This window comes from Homo sapiens, chromosome 9, assembly GCF_000001405.40.
Source record: "Homo sapiens chromosome 9, GRCh38.p14 Primary Assembly".
In the NCBI taxonomy this organism is placed as follows: domain Eukaryota; kingdom Metazoa; phylum Chordata; class Mammalia; order Primates; family Hominidae; genus Homo; species Homo sapiens.
This window is the reverse complement of record NC_000009.12, coordinates 110609115-110630079: the sequence shown is the minus strand read 5'-3', so window position 1 is coordinate 110630079 and position 20965 is coordinate 110609115. Positions and strand designations below refer to the sequence as shown.

The 20965-nt window shown below is 34.8% G+C and overlaps 1 long non-coding RNA gene across 2 annotated transcripts, besides 5 other annotated features; it reads right to left on the bottom strand.

The window, feature by feature from the left end:
• Positions 341–510: an enhancer, noted in NCBI's record as "experimental_105271 CRE fragment used in MPRA reporter constructs". NCBI's record gives its function as "activates a minimal promoter by MPRAs in K562 erythroleukemia cells, with activity observed for both the introgressed and non-introgressed 9:113391935 variant alleles {active_cell/tissue: K562}" and the evidence as "EXISTENCE:reporter gene assay evidence [ECO:0000049][PMID:34662402]".
• Positions 3524–3693: an enhancer, noted in NCBI's record as "experimental_105248 CRE fragment used in MPRA reporter constructs". NCBI's record gives its function as "activates a minimal promoter by MPRAs in K562 erythroleukemia cells, with activity observed for the non-introgressed 9:113388752 variant allele {active_cell/tissue: K562}" and the evidence as "EXISTENCE:reporter gene assay evidence [ECO:0000049][PMID:34662402]".
• LOC105376218 (uncharacterized) lies at positions 4938–16035 on the bottom strand. Of its 2 annotated transcripts, none has more exons than XR_007061731.1 (3): positions 12828–16035; positions 11289–11512; positions 4938–10179 (listed from the first exon to the last, which is right to left on the bottom strand). It is a non-coding gene; the product is annotated as an uncharacterized LOC105376218 (long non-coding RNA). The 2 variants fall into 2 exon arrangements; XR_001746891.2 differs by having other exon boundaries at positions 8954–10179; positions 11226–11512.
• Positions 8791–8960: an enhancer, noted in NCBI's record as "experimental_105225 CRE fragment used in MPRA reporter constructs". NCBI's record gives its function as "activates a minimal promoter by MPRAs in K562 erythroleukemia cells, with activity observed for the non-introgressed 9:113383485 variant allele {active_cell/tissue: K562}" and the evidence as "EXISTENCE:reporter gene assay evidence [ECO:0000049][PMID:34662402]".
• Positions 9632–9801: an enhancer, noted in NCBI's record as "experimental_105219 CRE fragment used in MPRA reporter constructs". NCBI's record gives its function as "activates a minimal promoter by MPRAs in K562 erythroleukemia cells, with activity observed for both the introgressed and non-introgressed 9:113382644 variant alleles {active_cell/tissue: K562}" and the evidence as "EXISTENCE:reporter gene assay evidence [ECO:0000049][PMID:34662402]".
• Positions 12622–12791: an enhancer, noted in NCBI's record as "experimental_105200 CRE fragment used in MPRA reporter constructs". NCBI's record gives its function as "activates a minimal promoter by MPRAs in K562 erythroleukemia cells, with activity observed for the non-introgressed 9:113379654 variant allele {active_cell/tissue: K562}" and the evidence as "EXISTENCE:reporter gene assay evidence [ECO:0000049][PMID:34662402]".
• Positions 16036–20965: the final 4930 nt, after the last annotated feature.

Sequence of the window (20965 nt, the reverse complement as noted above, 5' to 3'; positions counted from 1 at the left end):
TTTGGGGTAGAATCATTTAAAAAATACTGAGGCCAAATTATTTTAGGACTAACGTATGTTTTAGACACACACTAACAAAGCTTAAAGGCAAGAATCAGAAGGACAAATTAATTCCAAGTAACTTGACTGCATCCCAGAACAAAACCCCAAAAATATTTAAAGGAATACAACAAAATCAAGCACCTAACAGTGTTCAGCATCCAATTAAATATTATCAGGAATGCAAAGAAGCAGGAAAATATGAATATAACTCAAGAGGAAAATATGAATATAACTCAAGAGAAAAATATAAGCATAACTCATATGAGAAAAATCAAGCTAGGGGAACAGATCCATAAGTTATTATAAATATGTTTCATATATTCAAGAAGATAGAGGAAGGCATGGGTGTGAGGGCAGAGGAATAGAAGATGATAGATTTTTCAAAGTATCAGGATTATGGATATATTTATTGAGACGTGTTCTTTACATTTAAATCCCAATCAAAATAGTTTTTGAAAAACAATATTTATTATCTTATATAATAAGGCCTTCTATGAGTGATCAATTCAGTAGCTCAGCAATGTCAACAAAGACACAGATTCTTTTTATCTCTTCCGTTTATCATCATCTGTGGGTGCTAATTTCCCTCACAGGGATAAAATAACTGCAGCAGCTTCAGGCCTCATATCATTACAAACCAACATCTAGATATAAAACAAACAAACAAACAAAACTTGAAAAGACAGTCTCTTGTTTATGCCTCTTTTCAAGATCCCAGAATTCTTTCCAGAAATCTAGGTAATTATCTGTCATATCTCATTGACCTAAAATGTTCACATTTCGGCTTATCACTGGCTTAAACTAATCAAGATTTAATTGATGAGACTGGAAATGAGTCTATTTTCCTCTTAAGCACTTAGATACACAAAAGTGCATGGATAAAAAACAAGGTCAGGGTTCTATTAATAAGAAAAAAAGAAAAAATAATGTCTATGTGAGAAAACATTATTTGTAAGAAGGGTTAAAATCATTCAATTTAGATAACAAAAATACTATAATAATAGACATCACATATAGTTTAACCCTGTGCCAGGCTTTACACTTAGATTCTAATTGTTTTACATTTATTAATTCATTTAAGACTCACCAAATTATTATTTCCATTTTAGACATGGAGGACATGGAGTCAGGTCACTTGTCCAAGGTCAGTTTAATAAATAACAGAAAAATAAATGGTGATACCCAGACAGAAAACTTAATCATACAACTCATCTGAATTTATTTTTAAAATATGATTTAATGTGCATATATATACATACATATATAACATATACATAACTGCAACATGTTTGAACTCAAACTATATTAAAGACATCATTCAATGTTTGTACACATAGTTCTAACCCATTTTAAGTGGAAACATTGCATTGCAGCATACTAGTAATAAGCACATATTATAATTTATTTCATCCTTTATATTGATTACAATTTGACTGCTACACAAATATTTCTACAGGGAACAATTTCATACATAAATATTTTTATCCTGTTTGCTTATGTGTATATATGTGTGCATTATAGTTTTAGAGATTAAATTCCTTGAAGTGAAATTGCTGTCTTAGCTTTTCACATTTTAAATATTTTTAGAGGGTGTAACACTGCCTTCCCAAAGGCTCTGTTAATTTGCCTCTCAGTAACAACAGATGAGAATGCCTCTGTGCTTACACCACTGCTAAACTGATGGAGTAAAAGAGAATTTCATTTTTGTTTTAGTGTGCATTTCTAGGGTTCCCAGAGAAGATGATTTACTTTTTGTGTTCCTACACCATTTGCATTACTCCTATGAATTGCCTGCTCCATCCTTTGTTCACTTTTCAGTCAAGTTTTGCCTTTCCTTATTGATTTGAAAGATTTAAGACATTAATTCATGATTCATGTGTTGCAACATTTTCCTCTATTATTTGCCTTTTTAATCTTGTTTATGAACCATCATTATCCCGAAAGAGTATTTAAGTAATTATATAGTTAAAATCTGTCAACATTTTTCATTATGGCTACTGGGTTTCTCAGGCCACTGAAAGAATGAGCTTTTGCCACTTTCTAGTCTTCATTTTCTCCAATCAGAAATGCTGATGGGAAGAACAGGTGAGACAATGTGGCTATCACCATCAAAGACACTGGGACAAACACAGTTGTGTGATACCCAGAGGCTCTTCAGAACAAAGGCTTAATTTTATCATTCATTTATATCACTCAAATTATTTTCTCATAACTTTATTTTTGGCCTGCAACAAAAATCTCTCAATTCCTCTTCAGATCTTTCCTTAAAGTGGAACTAAGTAGAACACATGTGACTCAGATTTTAATTATTGCTTATCTTATTTGGATATGTTTTATCCTCATTAAAATGTAATTATTATAGAAATGACAGCCCCATTGCCAGGAAAATTGGGAGTGTTATATGCTCTGTTCAGCTTTTGGTAAAATTTTAATTCTATCAGGTCAAATTATTATTGTGTTATTTGTCTACTTTTGTTGCAACAGGAATGGAAGGCATTCCACAGATTGGTCAATTTGTTTGCCTTTTGTTGTGTGTCTCTCCATAAATCTCAATGACAAATGTCTTTTTAATTTATCTATTTATCTTGTTTTATTTTTTGTCTATTAACCAAACTTGATGTATTTTTCTTCTAAAGGGGTTCAGAACACGTCACCCCCAAATTTATTGTTTTGCATATTGATTATTTTGAGCTGGAGACACTTGAGAATCAGCAGATACAGAAAATACGCTTTGAACACCTTTTATCTAAAAGCAGGCCATAAAATTTCCCGTGAAAAAGATGCCCTTCTTGTACCAGGAAGAGAAGACCATCTTTATCACTGGAGACTTGGAGTTGACACCAAAATCAATCGTACAAACAAATCTATTATAATAGTCCTTATCTTCCACTAGTCTCTCCCATATATTTCCTAGTCACTGTCCCACATTTACTGCCTTTGGCCCAAGCCTCTTTGTTGTCACATCCTCACAATTTATTGTTGTTTGTTTAAAAAGATATATAACTATTGAGGCCTAATAACTTCTTCAGGTCTTAATTTTCCTTATGAAGACTCCCGTGTACATATGAAAAAAATTAAACTTGTATGTTTTTCTCTTGTTAATATGTCTTCTGTTACTTTAATTCTCAGACCCAGCCACAGAACCTAAGAGGTCTGAAGAAAACTCTCTGTACTTCTCCAATGCAGTGTGTTATGATTTCTATTGTTATCATTTCTGTCTGCTTTGTTTTTGTGATCTCTCTCTTGAGAGTCGCCATAAGCCGAGATAGACACTCCCTAGGAGAGCCCTGATAGGGGGAAAGTTAGCCTCAAGTATGTCAGCCAAGTGAGACTCAGTGAGGTTGTGAAACCAAAATGCATAAAACAGAAGCAATTTATTACTCACCGGTTCCAGAGAGGTTGGGGGTGCCAATGTGAGGCCTATGGGGAAATCTGTAGGTGGTAGCAGGAAGCTCAACCAGTGGGTGGGCAATGAGATGGGGAGGAGGGGAACCTGTGGGGCTATGTCTTTAGGAAGGACCAAAGCCACGGGCACTATCCCTTAGTTTTTCCTGCGGAAGTTGTGGATTGGCTAGTGTAAAGAAAACATGTGTGAATGAGGAACTTATTTTTAGAGCTCTGGTGTTGACCATTAGGTGTTATTGTGCTTGGCAATGGTGGGATGCATTGGGTTTTGGATCAGTGGTATGAGGCATAAGCATGTTATTTTGCAAACAACCTCGCAGGAAGGGGGAGTTTTAACTAGGCCAAAGGTGACGGGGTATGACTGGGATTCAAACAACTTATGTCAGTCCTAAGTGGTTATGGGATTCCTAACAACTTATGAATGCTGAGGCTGCAACTATAATAAACAAACGTGTGACACAGTGCATTTCCACTTTGGAATTTCCCCCGATTCAGTAATGTCCATTGGTCAATAGAATTATCTTACTGTTCTGATCTCAAATTTATTCCACTAAGAACTGATAGGAGATGATAGAATAAAGATGGCATTATAATGTGTTAGATTTTATTGCACTACAATACATTTATGAGAGTGTTTAGGAAACTGAAAGTATATGCTAGAGTTTTTTTTTTTTTCATTTCAGCTGTTTATTTTAATTTATTTTTTTTTATACTTTTAAGTTTTAGGGTACATGTGCACAACGTGCAGGTTAGTTACATATATATACATGTGCCATGTTGGTGTGCTGCACCTATTAACTCGTCATTTAACATTAGGTATATCTCCTAATGCTATCCCTCCGCTCTCCCCGCACCCCACAACAGGCCCCAGTGTGTGATGTTCCCCTTCCTGTGTCCATGTGTTCTCATCGTTCAATTCCCACCTATGAGTGAGAACATGAGGTGTTTGGTTTTTTGTCCTTGTGATAGTTGGCTGAGAATGATGGTTTCCAGCTTCATCCATGTCCCTACAAAGGACATGAACTCATCCTTTTTTATGTCTGCATAGTATTATTCCATGGTGTATATGTGCCACATTTTCTTAATCCAGTCTATCATTGTTGGACATTTGGGTTGGTTCCAAGTCTTTGCTACTGTGAATAGTTCTGCAATAAACATACGTGTGCATGTGTCTTTATAGCAGCATGATTTATAGTCCTTTGATATACCCAGTAATGGGATTGCTGGGTCAAATGGTATTTCTAGTTCTAGATCCCTGAGGAATCGCCACACTGACTTCCATAACGGTTGAACTAGTTTACAGTCCCACCAACAGCATAAAAGTAGTATATGCTAGAGTTTAAGGAACTATTCGATTAGATTAAGGGCTTCATGAAGGATAATGGAGTTAAGATTTTTTTTATTTTAGATTTAAATAATGACAACCACACCAAAGATAAAATCACTATTAGTAACTCATATCCTTTTAGGCATTTTTGTGTGCATATACATAACATATAAACATACATACAATATACACATGCATATCCATTTCTAAAAAAATGGGAAAAATCTTGTATATACTTCTCACCTTTTAAAATTTTTTTAACTTACAAAATATAACTTTAACTTCTACTTGGTATGTTATAGACTTTTCACAAGCCAATGAACATTTAAATAAAATATAATTTTAATTACTGAGTAATATTACATTTTTGATGGTACTGAATTTATATAATACATCTCCACTTGTTGGACATTTAGTTAACTTATTTTTTCTACTGCTTTATTGTTATAAAATATGCTTTGGTGAGACACTTTATCTTAGGATTAGTTCTAAAATGCATTTTATGTACACTATTCTCAACATATTATTAATTGAAAACAAGTTGCAAAATTACTATGACATAGAACGTTGGAAAATGGTACAATTGTTAAATCCAAGCATTCATGAGAACACCAATAAAATATACGTAAAATTCCAGTAATCTACCTGAGAATAAAAAACACAGACATTCATTATTATGAAGGACAAATGAGACATACTACAGAAAAGGAAGAAATTGCTTAAGTAGTGAGAGACTATAATCCAAAAAGACAGGCTGCAAATGAGCAAAAAGATGGAAATAATTGTACCACCTAGAGGCACAGTAGCAAACTTTTGAAGAAATTGAGAGATTTCCTTGGCTAAAACCAAAAGAATATTCCAGAACCACAATAACAGGGAAAGGTAAAATATTTTAAGAATTCATCTAGACAAGAACTCAATTAGAGATCACTATCTGAAACCCCCGAGGTTTCAGCTTTCAGGGGTGTGAGGTCTGAGGTCTGAGTCCTAGGAGATCTGGGAACAGGTGATAGTCAATGTCAAAAACCCCATTTTCTTAGATACAAAAAGGTTTTCTCCTATGCCTACACAAGATACCAAATGAATTCAGAATGTAATTCTCATAGTCCAGGGCAATAAAAAATATATAATTCTAATGGTTACCAGATTGCAGAAGATATTTATTGATGATGTTTGCTGCTAAGCTAACATCTTTCTACAGCACCACATTGTAAGTTTTAGACTATAAGCTGTTCATAGGGTTTTCATACCTAAAGATAACACTGACACCATCACCCACTTTGTAAAGGGAATCAGAGAAATTTCTAATAAACGAGATGCAATTGCTATCACCACTATTTCTTACTAGGAGTTTTCTGTGATAACACAATTGAAAAGTCTCTATAAACTGTCCACGAACAAATGCTAGTATTTATTGGCACCATTTATGGCAGTTGCTCCAGCTTACCCTTCTGCAGGTGGGAGGAGATGGGTAATGCATTTAGTCTTGGGAATTTGGTCTTGATATACCAAGGTAATATCTAATAGGACAAATACAAAACTGTCCAGGAAAAATCCCAAGCTCACACACCTGAGCATTCATACTCACCACAAATAAGGATCTGGGAATAGATGGCACTTGATTTTCTCTTTTGAAGTTCTTCAGAGTTAAGCCACTGGAGGGCAGCAGAGACAGGATTTTAATACACAAACTTCAGTTTCTATTCATTGACCAGTTCATGGATTCATTAGATACGTAAGTGCCCATGAGGTGAAAGGCATTCACCTTTTATGACAGTCATATTGTATGCTTTTTCATTAATTATCTATTAAGAAAGAATATTTGACAGATATTTCTATTTGAATCTCTACTGGATTGAAATCTATATATTTTTTGACAGTACAATTGAGAACTCATAAAATTAGTTTTAAAGCTAGCAAGAAACTTATGGAACACCCATATCTACTATTTCTCTCTTGAACAATGTCATTATCTTTTCTGCTCTATCTCATATATAAAAATGTTAATTGGTTTTCTTTTCTATGTGCTCATTCTCAAAGTTTGGAAAAATATAGAAAAGTAAAAAAATGAAAATAAAATTCAACCCTTAATACTATCATTAGTGTTTCAATACAATGCTTCCTAGTTGAATATGCATAGATGTATGTTTATTTCATTTACATATTTGATCTTAGAATCTATAGAGGTTAAAGTCATAGTATACTAGATTGCCATATCATTATCAATAAATATTTAAAGAAATGTTATTTATGAATAAAGTTGTTTTAGAAATACAGCTGTATACATGTGATACTGAGCAAGCCAAAATATTTTACCCAAGCAAATGCAATTATCTCTCTACTGAACATATTTATTTCTCTAGATTAGTTAATTTGTTATTATTATTCTGCTTCCAAAACAAGAAAAATATATTTAAGTTGATCTTGGAATTGTTTTGTATTTCAGTCCATCATAATGCACTAAAGTAAACAAGAAGAGTAAGTCACACACTCTTCTCCATAAGAAAAATTAAGGCATTACTGATTTAAGTTGGAAATATTTTAATAGTAAATTAGAATTTAAATGTAGTGTTTAAAAAAGAGTATGATTAAGTATGTGCATTTACCATCAAATATTCCAACCCATGTAGTCAAGTGGCAAGGCAAATGAATGCCTCCCTCGTCTTTACACCCTTGCCATTTTGAATGACCTCACTCAGAGAGACAGGAAGAATGCATGGCTCACTCTTCCACTTCCTCATTCAGCCTTTTTTTTACCAAGGTATGCCAAAGTGCTATTTCACATAACGAGGTTTCCAGGGCAAGCAAAGTATATTTCCTGTCCTCAAGGGGTTTACAGTCCAGTAGAAGAGGCAAGGAAATAAATAACTGGCTGTGTTATGTGCTGCAAGGTGGAAAGCATAGGTCACTATGGTCATCTGACTTGGCATTGTTCCTTAGGGAAGGTTTCACTGATAAGATGTTTATGTCAGAAACTAAAGGGTAAAGAAAAGAAGTCAGGTAAAGAGGCCGGGAACGGTGGCTCACGCCTGTAATCCCAGTACTTTGGGAGGCCTCAGGCAGATCACTTGAGGTCAGGAGTTTGAGACCAGCCTGGCCAACATGGTGAAACCCCGTCTCTACTAAAACTACAAAAATTAGCCAGGCATGGTGGTGCATGCCTGTAATCCCAGCTACTTGGGAGGGTGAGGCAGGAGGATCGCTTGAACCTGGAAGGCAGAGGTTGCAGTGAGCCCGAGATTGCACCCCTGCACTCCCACCTGGGTGATAGAGAGAGACTCTGTCTCAAAATAAATAAATAAATAAATAAAAGTTTTTAAAAAAGAAGCCAGGTAAGGAGAGGAGAAAAAAAAATATTTTTGGTGGAGGAAAGAGCATGCAAAGAACTAAGTCTCGAGTGACAGCGAAGTAATTCAGTATGGCTAGACAGTAAGTGTAGAAAGGCAGAGACTAAGAGGGTAAGTAAAAGTGAGACTTTTGTAAAGGGCATTGTAAACCACATTAAGGAGTTAGACCTTTATCCTACAATACAATTGTAACTTTACAAAATTTACTCTGGCTATTATGTGAAAAACGGGTTAGAGTAGAAATTGCTGGATGAAGGGGACCAAGTTGCATCTCTAAGATGATAGATAAATATTATTTTAAAATGACAAGGAAATTATTGATTCATTGCAGAAACTAACATGAAATCTAGACATAGTAGGTGTTTGATATATGCTGAATAAGTGACTAAAAGGATGAATATATTTGTAAACAATGCAACACCTATATTTAGGCTTCCCTGAGGAGGCCATTAGTCCATTGCTATTTCTCCTACCACAGTTTCAGCATCACTTAATACCTCTTATTTATACTTCTGTATCAGTTTCAACGACTTGGAGTCATACACATTGAAAAAATGAGCCACTTAATTTTCCATTACCGCTGTCAAAAACTGGAAGTCTAATTTTTTCTAAATGTATGGTTAAATTTCGTAGAAGGAGAATCTATTTAGTTTATTGGATTATTTTTACTGATATTACTTGCTTAGTCTCCAACTTCCCTTGGAGTGTTTGGGTAATCTAGTCATTTATTAAATGCTGGCTTATCCATGAAACATACACTTCATGGAAATTCATTACATTTTAGAATTCAGATTATAAAACCAGATCTGCATATTAAAAAATTGTTGCATAAACTGTGCACATAGCATATAAAATACTGTTTCCTCAGGCATAATATAGCCACAGGGTCAGAGGGAAAATCAGAAGGGAAATGTCTGATTATAACAAAACATTTATATAGCTCTGTGTTTCTTGAGTACTTCGTCTGCTGTTTATTAAGAAACAAGCTGGGAGGAATGGAAATTCTTCCAACTTATTTTCTTTAAGAAATGTCCATGGAAGTATTTCAAAACTGCCGAGTCTGGAAATGAAATTTTTAAGCATGCCAAAGTGTTATAGGAGCAGATGGTGCTACAGGATTTTTTAAGGATGGAAGGAAATCACATCAAAACAAAAGACAGTAAGACGAGGAAATATTTGAGTCATCTACAGCTAATAATATTTTACTTTGATCATTTTGTATCTGTGATGTTCATTTTAAACTGCTAAAATATGTCTTGTCAATTTTTCTTTTGAATTTAAAGTTGTATTATGTTGTCAAAAAATAGATAGGAATAACAAGTTTAATAAATAGCATTCCTCAAGTAATTTTTAAAGATGCAAATAATAATTTTCACATACAATTATCAAGCACACACAGCATCTCCAGAGCCAGATGGGTTGAGTAAAAATATTAACATTTTCTAAGCCAGAAGTAAACAGTTTATGAAGTTGGAATATTTTGCATTTTATACTTGAATTCATTTGAAATATCTCCATCATTTTAATCACACAAAAATATATTTGAAAAGGCTTTAAAGTAATTGCAAAACCCCTGCTGGGATAGGTGGATGTTGTTGTTCCTGTTTACATATGCAGACGATGGTGATTAATGAGTGAAAATATCACATGGATAAATGAATGTAAGTAATTCTGAATTGCACATGGATTAATTAATGCAGGTCATTATTATGGGTTGGTTAGTGAGAAACATCAGTAGTTAATTCTTTATGGGTGAGAGATGGGAGGGAGATGAATGGGACAGGAGCTAGGAGGATTATCAGGGATGATAACTTCATTTTGGATGTGTTGATTTTGAGATGCCCATGGAAATCTGGATGAATAATCTGTGTTGCAAGTGACTAAACAAACCAAGAGTTTGGAGGGAGGTCTGGGCTGGAAATGAAGATTTATTTGGCATGAATACTTGAAAGTGAATGTGGTCATCTAAAGAGAATGTTTGGAGAATGAAAATCTGAGACCAAAACCAGAAATATCCATAAAAGGAGCTTTAAAATGGTGGAAGGCTTCATCCAGAACCTGGAAGAAGACAAAAAAAGAAAGCAGATTATTATAGTATGAGCCATTTACATTACCTGTCAACATTAGTGGCAAACATTTGCCAAATAAATTTGGTCATGATAGTCTTTACCATCAGTTAAATATAGTCTTTACTAAAACCCTGTTCTTTTCTTCATAATCTTTCAATTAACACTTTAAAGTAGGAATTTTATAGCTACTTTCATGTTTAGCATGAAATCAGGTTGAATGAAGCAGAAACAAGCTATGGAGCTATAGAACATAAAATAAGGTTCAGTTTATAATATAGGTAGCATGCTCTTGGAAAAGCCAAAGATAATGAGGAAACCAAATGACAATGTTGAAACTATACCATGGAAATTCAAGTCACCATGCTGAAGAGAAGAGTGAGAATAGCTTCTAGCTAGCTATCCATACTTATCCTGTGCAGAGTCCTTACTAAAATATCAGTGAAAGCCAGATTATACATCAACACAAAGCAACAAATTATTATTAACAAATGCTTGCTGGAATCTGTAGGAATTTTTCAGCAATTATTTTGCCAATGAAGGTGGTTATAAAAAATAGTTTGTGTTCTATACATTCTTCACTTCATGAAACAAAGTTGTTCCCTACACATGACAGTCTTTGGGACCATTACGAGTTACTCTAAGTCTCAACTTCTTTATTAGAGAAACCTACTTATTGGGATTTGTTTGGATTAAATGAGCTAATCCAGGTAAATTGATTATCAGCGTGCTTGGTATAAAGTAAATAACAAGTAGTCAGGAGTTCCTAAATGGACTATTCCATATTGCCAAAACTGCCAATTAAAAACAAAAGAATGAGCATTAAAAATAATAAACACTGATAATGAATGTTAACAAGCAGCCTGTTTCCAGGCTCTGGAAACATATTTTCTGTAATCATTAAAAACTCCATTTATAAAAACAAGTATTTTTTTTCTCATTCTTCACTCCATGAAACAAAGCTATTAATTCTCATCATCACAAACATTTATAACTTACTACATGTCAAGTACTGCATGAACCCTAGCTACTGTTAACCTGGGTTCTAGGAGTCCTCAACTACTGGTGTTCTTCAGGGAATCTGCAATCTATGAAAATTACATGCAAAATTCTGAATATTTCCGGAGACTCCATAGCTTTCATAAACTTCTGAGAGCATTTTGTGATCCTCGCCTCCAAGGTATTTAAGAAACAGTGTCTAGAATCTTCTCATTTTGCAGACAGCCCAGATGGACTTTCATCCATTTTCACCCATGTTCACTTGCATTGGTTATCTGCCGCCTCTATACTTTCAGACATGAACTCTGAGGCTGGTGAGGATTATCCTAATTAGAAAGAGAGAAATACACATATTACTGATCTGCTAAACACTGTATTCCTAATTAGGTTTTGGAAGATGGACTTATTCCCATATTGTAAATTACCAAAATCAAGAGAAAAAATACATAGACATAAATATCACAATCAGAATCTCCATGCGTTCCTCTTAAGTTTCAGAACTGTGAGAGCCACATTTGATACTGTTCTTAGTATACTTAAAAGCAGAAATGTGAGTTACTGGTTTACTTCTACATTCTTGGTTAGAATTGATTATTTACACTTAAAAATAAACCAATAGATGGAACAGCTGAATATTAATTTTTAAATATCACCAGAAAAATATCCATATATAATGTTGATGGGATTATATCATGGAAAAGCAAGTGTTACGATAAATGAAGGAACAAAAGACTGCGTATTGTGTGATCCCATTTATATGATATGTCCGGAATAGGCAACTTATGGAGGCAGAAAGCAGCTTAGTTACTGCCTAGGACTCAGATAGTAGAAAAATGGGGAGTGATGAACAATGAGTTTTCTTTTGTGATGATGAAAAGATACTGAAAACCATAAAATTGTACACTTCAAATGAGTAAATTATATCTCAATAAAGCTGTTAAAATATGTAATCATTCAATGATTTGGGGGGCATTCTTGAATATTGACACCTTTACCTTAAAAAAAGAGAGTAATTTTGAATTCCTCATGATACAACATTTCCAAAATATTTTGTTAATTTCTCAAAGATCATGGAATTTTAAAAAATCATGTATCCATGTAATAATATGGAAATTAAGGAATAAAATATCCTTTAAATTGGTGCTTTGGTGCTAATTTTTTTCTCAATATTTTTACAAAATAAAATTTATTTACTGTATTCTCTAATTATAATTGTTAACCTCTGTACTCTAATCTTTTGCTGTTTAAAGTGTGATCCATGGATCAGCAGCACTGGCATAACTTAAGAGCTTATTAGAAATGCAGAATTTCAGGTCCAGTTCCATATCTACTGAATCAAAACTGCCTTTTAACAGAATCCTCAGGTGATTCATTTGCATATTAAAGTGCTCTAAAGCAGTGATTCTCAAGATATAGTCTCCAGAAAAATAGCATCAGTTTTAGCCAAAAATTTGCTAGAACTTGAAATTCTCTGGTCTCACCCAAATGTACTGAATCAAAAACTCTAGCAATCTATTTTATCAAACTCCCCTGGTGATTCTGATCATGCTAACAAGTTTGCAGTAAAAGAGTCACTTCGTAGCACAATAGAATCACCTAGGGAACTTTAAAAAATCTTGATGCTCAGGTTGCAATTCATACCATTTAAATCAGGGTCCTTGTGTGGGATCCAGGTGTCGGTGTTTTTTTAAATTCCTCGGGTGATTCCAGTGTGCATTCAAGTTTGAAAATCAGTGTCCTAAAGAAGACAGACTATGCAAATTCATTTTACTGGCTATAGTTCTCAGAATTACTATAAATTATTGGATGACATTACATTTATCAGAAACAATAATTGACTGCCATTTTTGCCTTATCTTTTATAAGAGAGTTTGTCACACTTCATTCCCCTCCCACTCTGTTTCTTCCTTTACTTAATCTAGTAGAAACCCTCAGGTGACATTATTACCACAAACGTGGAAAACATTTCAAAGTGAAATTCAAGCCCTATGTTTAATAATCCTAGGGACTTACAAGAGGAAACAAGAGAACAAAAAGGGAAGTATTTGTTTTGAGAAGAGCAAAGCCTAAAGAAAAGGCTAATTCTATGAAAGGGTATAGCTGGCAGCCACTGCTACCTGGGTGAGCTTTATGGTAAATAAATTTAATCTCAATAATGCTGTTAAAAATATGTAATCATTTCATGATTTGCGGTGAAAGTGCAGGCATCTGCAGAAAGGTAGAAAGAGTGGAGTGGGAGTGAAATTTTCATGGAGAAGCAATGTTAGCACAGACCACAGATTCTGGTTATGGGGAAAAAAGGAAGAGGAAGGTCTCAGCTAAAAAATATACTGGTGGCAGCATTCAAGTGTTTCTGGAAAGATGAGGATCATTTTAATAAGTCAGTCATAGTCCACTTGTAACTAAGAGGAGTCCAGTTTGGGAGACACCACAAGGACCATGTCTTTCTGCTCTTAAAGTCATAGGGAAGATCTTGGATGAAAGTCAGAACTCCCACAGAGTATGGGAGAAATGAGGCCCAGCTCTGGTGGTTTAAAGAAATTCATATTAAATATGGAGGTGGCCCTTGGGAGGTTCAAACATTATAACTTTTTGGCTTAACCAGTGAATCCATTGCACACTCTGTTGCTGTTGTACTCAAAATATTGCTAGCAAGAAGACACTCTTATGATTATCAAGCTACTAGCAAAATGTTGCCTAAGAGTATATATTTTTCCCTCACAGGCGGTATTAGCTTGGGGATACCACTCCCAAATAAGAAGAAATTGATAAAAACTGCTTAAGCACTTTGAGACAGAGCTAAGAACTACGTCTTTGAAATATGTATTTTCTACCATATAAATTAACAGAAACTAATTGGAAAGCTGGAAAGAAAGGAGGGACTCTGGATGTGAACCCATAAACCAGAATTTACAGGCCTAAGATGTATGAGAAAACAAGGCGTATAGATGTCCTTCAGTGTCTTAGCCTTGCCAAAATTATTTGGGCAAGGAACTTGGTTCCTCTGAGGACTGTTCATCCTTTAAAGCAGGAAATAAAGCTTATGAGACAAGCTACATGCTACTGAAAATTGGTGGATTTGGGGGATAGTGTTGTAAGACCCATAGAATGCAAACGCTGTACTGTAACTATGGCCACACCACAGAAAGTTTTGCCAGAATGGTTAAGTTCTGAGTCAGAAAAGGGAACAAAAACCTGGAGGAGATGGCTCCCCTGGAGATAGCCCAAAGCCTCAAATCCATCTGTAATGATGCTGGAAGCAGAAAGGCCCTTGACTGAGGGTGTGGCCATGCAAAGAGTAGCAGACAAGTGCTTTGAACCTTCCTGAATATGCACTAATACAAAGTATACACATCGCCGCTGAGGGGTTTGGCAGAGGGGAATGGGAATCGGGTTTCTAGAAAGATAGGCTAGTCTGATATGCTTCAAAATGTTTCTGCAGATGCCTAAGGTTTCTGAGGTTCCTGAAGGTTATGTCAATTATCACTCACAATAAATAAAGTCTTGGAAAGGAGGAGGGATGGTATTCAAAGTTAATAGAAAAAAAAGTAAGAGGAATAAATCAAACATTGGTAAAGATTCAAGACTAAGCTTGATGGAAGCAGGCAATGGCTTTGAATAAAGTCTGGAGAGTCCACTGAGATAAATGCCTCCAGTCACTAAAAATTCAGTTTGGGGTGACTTTTGGCATTTATAATTTCCAAGGAATTTGTCCATCTCATCTAAACTGTTGAATTTGTATGCATAAAATTGTTTATTGTATTCCCTTATTAGCCTTTTTAATGTCTGTAGGGTCTGCAGTGATATCTCCCTTTCAGTCCTGGTACTGGTCATTTGTATCTTCTTCCTCTTCCCACTCTCCCATGTTAGATATGAGTTCTAAATTTCTTTTCAAAGAATCAATATGTCAGTATGTTCAATTCTTTGCCTTCTACTTTTAAACTTAACTTCCTCATAAAGCAACCTTTTTCGATTACCTGCTCCACTCTGACTCATTTCAATCACCTGCTCCACCCTGACTCATTCTGATTACCTGCTCCACCATGACTGATTCCGATTACCTACTCCACCCTCACTCATTCCGATTAACTGCTCTGTCATAACCATTTTTCCTCCCAAACCACTCACCCTGTCACTCTCTTTAAAGTAGCCAATCAGAATTAGTTTAGCCTGTGCGGTCTAACCCTAGCCAATAGGGGAACGACACAGCATCAGAGGCCATGTGTGTCGGGGTAAGAACCCCTTTCCCTCCCTTGTCCAGGTGTGCACTCACCATTGCTCCGTCTGTAAGGGCGCACCCTTCTATAGAAGTACCTTGCCTTGCTGATAATTAAAAAGAAAATTTTATATTCGAGTGCTATTTCTTTTGCGGTACCGAAACTTTATTTATAATACCCACCACCCATAGAATGTCTGCATAGAGTTTTACTTAGAGAACCACCTTTTGGTTTCATTGATTTTTCTCTACTATTTTTCTGTTTTCCACTTCATTTATTTCTGTTTTTATATATATCATTTCTACCCTTCTGCTTGTTTGGGGTTTAATTTGATTTTTTTTTTTTTTTTACTAGTTTCTTAAGAGGCTAACAAATTTGAGACCTTCCTTCTTTTTTAATATGAGCATTTAATGATCTTTTCATGTATTTCATAAATTATGATATGTTGTATTTTCATTTTTAGTTAGTTCAAAATATTTTCTAATATCCCTTGAGGTTTTCTCTTTGGCTCATGGATTTTTTAATTTCCACATATTTTGGGATTTTCCAGATGTATTTCTGTTATTGATTTCTATTTAATTCCTTAAAGGTTAGAGCACATACTTTGCATGATTCCAATTATTGTAAATCAATTAAGGCTTGTGTTATGGCCCAGCATATGGTCTTTCTTGATGAATATTCCATGAACAGTTGAAAATATTGTGTATTATGCTAATGTTGGGTGGTGTATTCTATAAATGTCAACTAGTGTTGTTTTAGTCTTCTATATCTTTATTGATTTTTCTGTCTAGTTCTTCTAATTCCTGAGTGTAGATATCTTCAAATAGATTTGTTAATTTTCCTATTTCTTCTTTCAGTTCTCTCAGTTTTTGCTTCACATAGTTTGATGCCTGTTGTCAGGAGCATACACATTTAGGATTATTACATATTCTCGGACAATTCACCCCTTCCTCAGTATTTAATGTCTTTTCTTATCCCTGATAATATTTTTAATTCTGAAGTCTATTCTATCTGATATTAATAAAGCAACTCCAGTATTCTTTTGATTGGTGTTTTCATGATGTATCTTTTATCTTTCTCTTATTTTATCTATCTATATATCTATATTTAAATGTGTTTCCTGTAGTCACATAATTGTCTTTTTAAAAATTGAATTTGATAGTCTGTTTTTTAATTAGAACATATAGAAATGTAGAAATCTTACCTGGTCCCTTTATGCTCTCTTCTTTATGTAGTGAATATATATAATATATATAATATAATACTTATATATAATATTATATTATTAGTTATGTTAATATAATATTAGGGTTAGGCTTAGGATTACTATCCCTGTTGTATAAATGAAAACACCAATACTCAGAGAGGTGAGGCAACTTGCCTATGGCCATATAATTATATTACATAATATAATAATAATGATATAATATCTGTGCATATTATATATATAATATATATTCATTTACTCACATGGAAACCCCCACCAGACAATATTATAATTTTGGCTTTTGATAATTCTACTTACTTAAAGAACTTAAAAGTAGAAAAATAGGCTTTTAGAGTTGACCTTTGAACAATACATGTTTGAACTGTGTGGGTCCACTTATACACAGACTTTTTTCAACCAGATGTGAATCGAAAATACAGTACTGAAGATCTAAACCCTGCAAATCATGAGGGCCAACTTTTTGTATACGTGGATTCTACCGGGCCAAATGCCGGACTTGAGTATACGCAAATTTTGGTATATGTAGTGGTTTGGAACCAATCACCTGTATGTATTGAGGGATGATTGTATGTTTACCTTAATATCTACATTTCTGTTTTTCTAAAGCGCTTCCTTCTACATTTATTTTAAAGCAGGTCTGCTGCCTACCAATTCTTCAAGCTTTCGATCAGCTGAAAATGTCTCTAGTTTGCTATCATTCCTGAAGGTCTTTTCATTGAATATAGGCTTAGGAGCTGGCAATTTTTTTTCCCTTTTAGCACTTGAAGGTTGGTATTTCCCTATCTCTAGCCTCCACAGCTTTTGATAAGAAAATTGTTGTTCCCCTGAATGTAATGTGTTATTTGTCACTGACCACTCTCTCTATATATAAATATTTAAATCTTTGGTTAAGTAGTTAATTATGTGTATTAGCATGGTTTTCTCTGAGTTTATTCTATGTGGGGTTCTCAGAACTTCTTGAATCTGTAAATTTGTGTCTTAAATTCATAAAACTTACAAAGTGTTCACCTATATTTCTTCAAAAAATACTTGGCAGTAATCTATTTCTCCTCTTTTTCTAGGATTTGAATGACGCAAATATCTTTGATATTCTTCTACAGGTACCAGAGACTCTGTTCTTTTTTTAAAAATCTTTTCTGTCATTTTGTTTTTCTGATTTGATAATTTATATTTTCCTACTTTCAAATTCAATGCTATTTCCTCTGTCATTTCCCCTATGCCATTAAGCCCATCCAGTAATTAAAAAAAATTTTATATTCTATTTTTCAGTTTTTAAATTTCCATTTCATTGATGTTCATAGTTTTTCTGCTCAAAACTTTCACTTTGCTGCTCATTTAAAAGTGTTCACCTTTACCTTATGGAGCATTTTATAACAACGGCTTTAACATTTTTGTCTGATAATTCAAATATCTAGGCCATCTCAGGGTTTGCACTTGTTGATTATCTTTTTCCTTGAAAAGTGATCAGATTTTTCTATCTTTTTAAAGTAATTTTGGGTTGTATGCTGAAAACTTTGATGATTATATTGTGAGATTCGTGGGCATGTGAAAACCTGTTGGAGATGTCAATTTGTTTTTGTTTTTGCCCAGTTAGGTTTAGACCATGAGCTCTGTCTCTCCTTTTATGGGTGGCAGTTATAGTTTTCAAAGCCTTTTCTATGCTGCTTGGGTTCGCTCCGTGCGTGTACCTCATTGGGTTAGTCTGAGATATAGCTGGTGGTTTATACTGTAGTTCACTTTTCAAAGCTATGCTTCTTTGCGTCTGTTCCATGCATTTGCAGGTCATAGTGAGAACTTATGTTAGTGCATACATAGAATTAGGGGATATCTTTCTCCAGCTCTCCCCTACCTGGCATTTCCTATCACACTCTCTGGCTCTTATGGTTCCTTTTCTTATGGTCCCTTTTCCATAGGGACCATAAGATCTGTTGAGCACATTTCTCTAACCAGAAAGCCATGGTATCTGAGTTTTAGCCCCTTACTCTGTGTGTAGTCTGTGCAGCTGAGATGCTCCTCATGATGAAGTAGCAAGAAAGAGAGAGAGAGAGAGAAAGAGAGACAGAGAGAACAATGATGATCCCCTCCATACTCTTTGGACCATAGGTGTCCCTTTTCTTTGTTCATCTAGTCAGAGAAATGAGCTCTCTCTCTGGGCTTTGCTGCTGCCCAGATTGCTGCTTCCATGACAAATTATCCTAAAACTTAGTAGCTTAACACAAACATTTAGTATGTGACATTTTCTGTGGTTCAGGATTCCTGGTGTCACTTAACTGGGTTTTCTGGCTGAAGGCATCTCATAAGGCTGCAGTCAATCAGGGTACCACCCAGGGCTGCAGTCATCTCAAGGCTTGACAGGGAGAGGACCGGCTTCCAAGGCCACTCATACGGCTGTAAACAGGTTTCAGAAGCTCCACTTCCAAGCTCACTACGTGGCTGCTTACATGCTACAGGTCCTTGTTGGCTGTTGGTCAGAGACATCAGTTCCTTGCCATATGGGCCTTTCCTTAGGACATCTCACAACATGGCAACTGGCCTTCCTCAGAGTGAGAGAGAGATAGAGTGAAAGAGAGTGAGAAAAAAGCAAAACAGAGTCTTTTTTTGTAACGTAATCTTGAAAGTGACATCCCAACATTTTAACCATATTTTATTTGTTGGAAGTGAATCATTAAGGCCAGCCCCTCATTCAAAGGGAAGGAATTATACAGCACAATGAATATCAGGAAGCGGAGCTAATTTGGGGCCATTTTGGAAGTTGCCTGCCACACTGTCTTAAACCACTGCCTTGTGTGTATAATTTTTAAGCACATATTATATCTTCATATCTTTTCCATGTAAATGAAAGAATATAAAATACTGTTACAGGTTTTGTTTTCTTTCCTGGTAAACATAGATTCCATCTGGATTCAAAAGAGATTAAGTATGTTGAAAACTGCAAGGTAGATCTAGAAAGAGCCAAGGATATGGAAAGTAAGTGTGGGTATGTTTAGTGCATCATTTTAATGCAGAATGGTTTCCTAGTCTGAATATTATTAGGCAAATTAATTATAAGAAACATCTGGCTGGAGGAAAACAAGGCACAATTAGGGTGAACAGAAGTTAGTGGAGTATGTTACTTCATTTTAAACTGTTGAAATTTGTGAGTCTGAGATCAAATCACACTTCTGCAAAGGATAAATTAAGCTACTTCAAATTGGTCCTTTATCAAGTGGAGAAGTAAGAGACATTCCTATTTTTTTAGACTTTATATCAGCTTAAGATCCACTGAGCACATTAAAGCTCTTTGAAGGAATAGAATACTTGGGTATCGGGCTGGCAAATTGAAAAAAAGAAGGAGATCTCTAAAAGAGACAAATTTCCTTCTAATAATGAGTGGCAGAGAGTATTTTACAAAGTGGTCCATGATAATATTTTCCATTCCACCTGCTCTTCTGCAGTGTGACCTGGCTACTCTCTTATCAAGAGGTGGAGTCCATTTTTCTACCTCTTTCTTGGATTGGCCTTATATCGGCTTTGGCCATTAGAATATGGTGGAAGTGATGGCATGTCAGTACCAGCCATCACTCTTAATAGATCCAGCAGTTTCTGCTTCCTGTCTTTGGAGCTTTGAGCAACCGTAGAAAAAGTCCAAGCTATTCTCTTGGAGAATCCTGGACATCTGGACATCTTGCTCATTTTAGCCTTTAGATCACTCCAGACCCAGCCGCTGTCTAAATGCCATCACATGAGAAATCCCAAGTGAGAACCACTCAACTGATTCCAGTCAACACATAGAATCAAGGATGATAGTAAGACATTATCACTTTACGTCATTAAGTTTAGGACGGTCTGTCACATAAAGCCAAAATTTGAAAAACTCCTTTATGTTAAATATGGACATTTCAGGAGGTTTACGATATTACATTATTTAGCTATAGGACACAACTGATGGACATTTTATAATATCTATCTGCATATAGATACAAATTTATAATCTGTAGCTTAATTACTTTCTATAGTTTAAAATATAACAAATAAGTGACAATCAATAACTATTGTTCTACCTTAAGATAAATGTCATCACATACTTGTATGTTTCTTCTCATCTTTTCTATGTGCACGTTAAAAAAATTGCACAACTGTGTATCAATTTAACAGTACGTATTTAGCATTTTTAACATTAGTTTTGAAAACATAAGCATAACTATGTATTTTTCTTTATATTTAATATACTTCAACCATTCTCTTATTATTATATATAAAAGTTGTTTCCAAGATTTCCAACATTTCACTTTTGTAATTGTACTGTAAATTCTATCATATATGAATGCATGTGCTCATCTCTGACTATTTCCTTA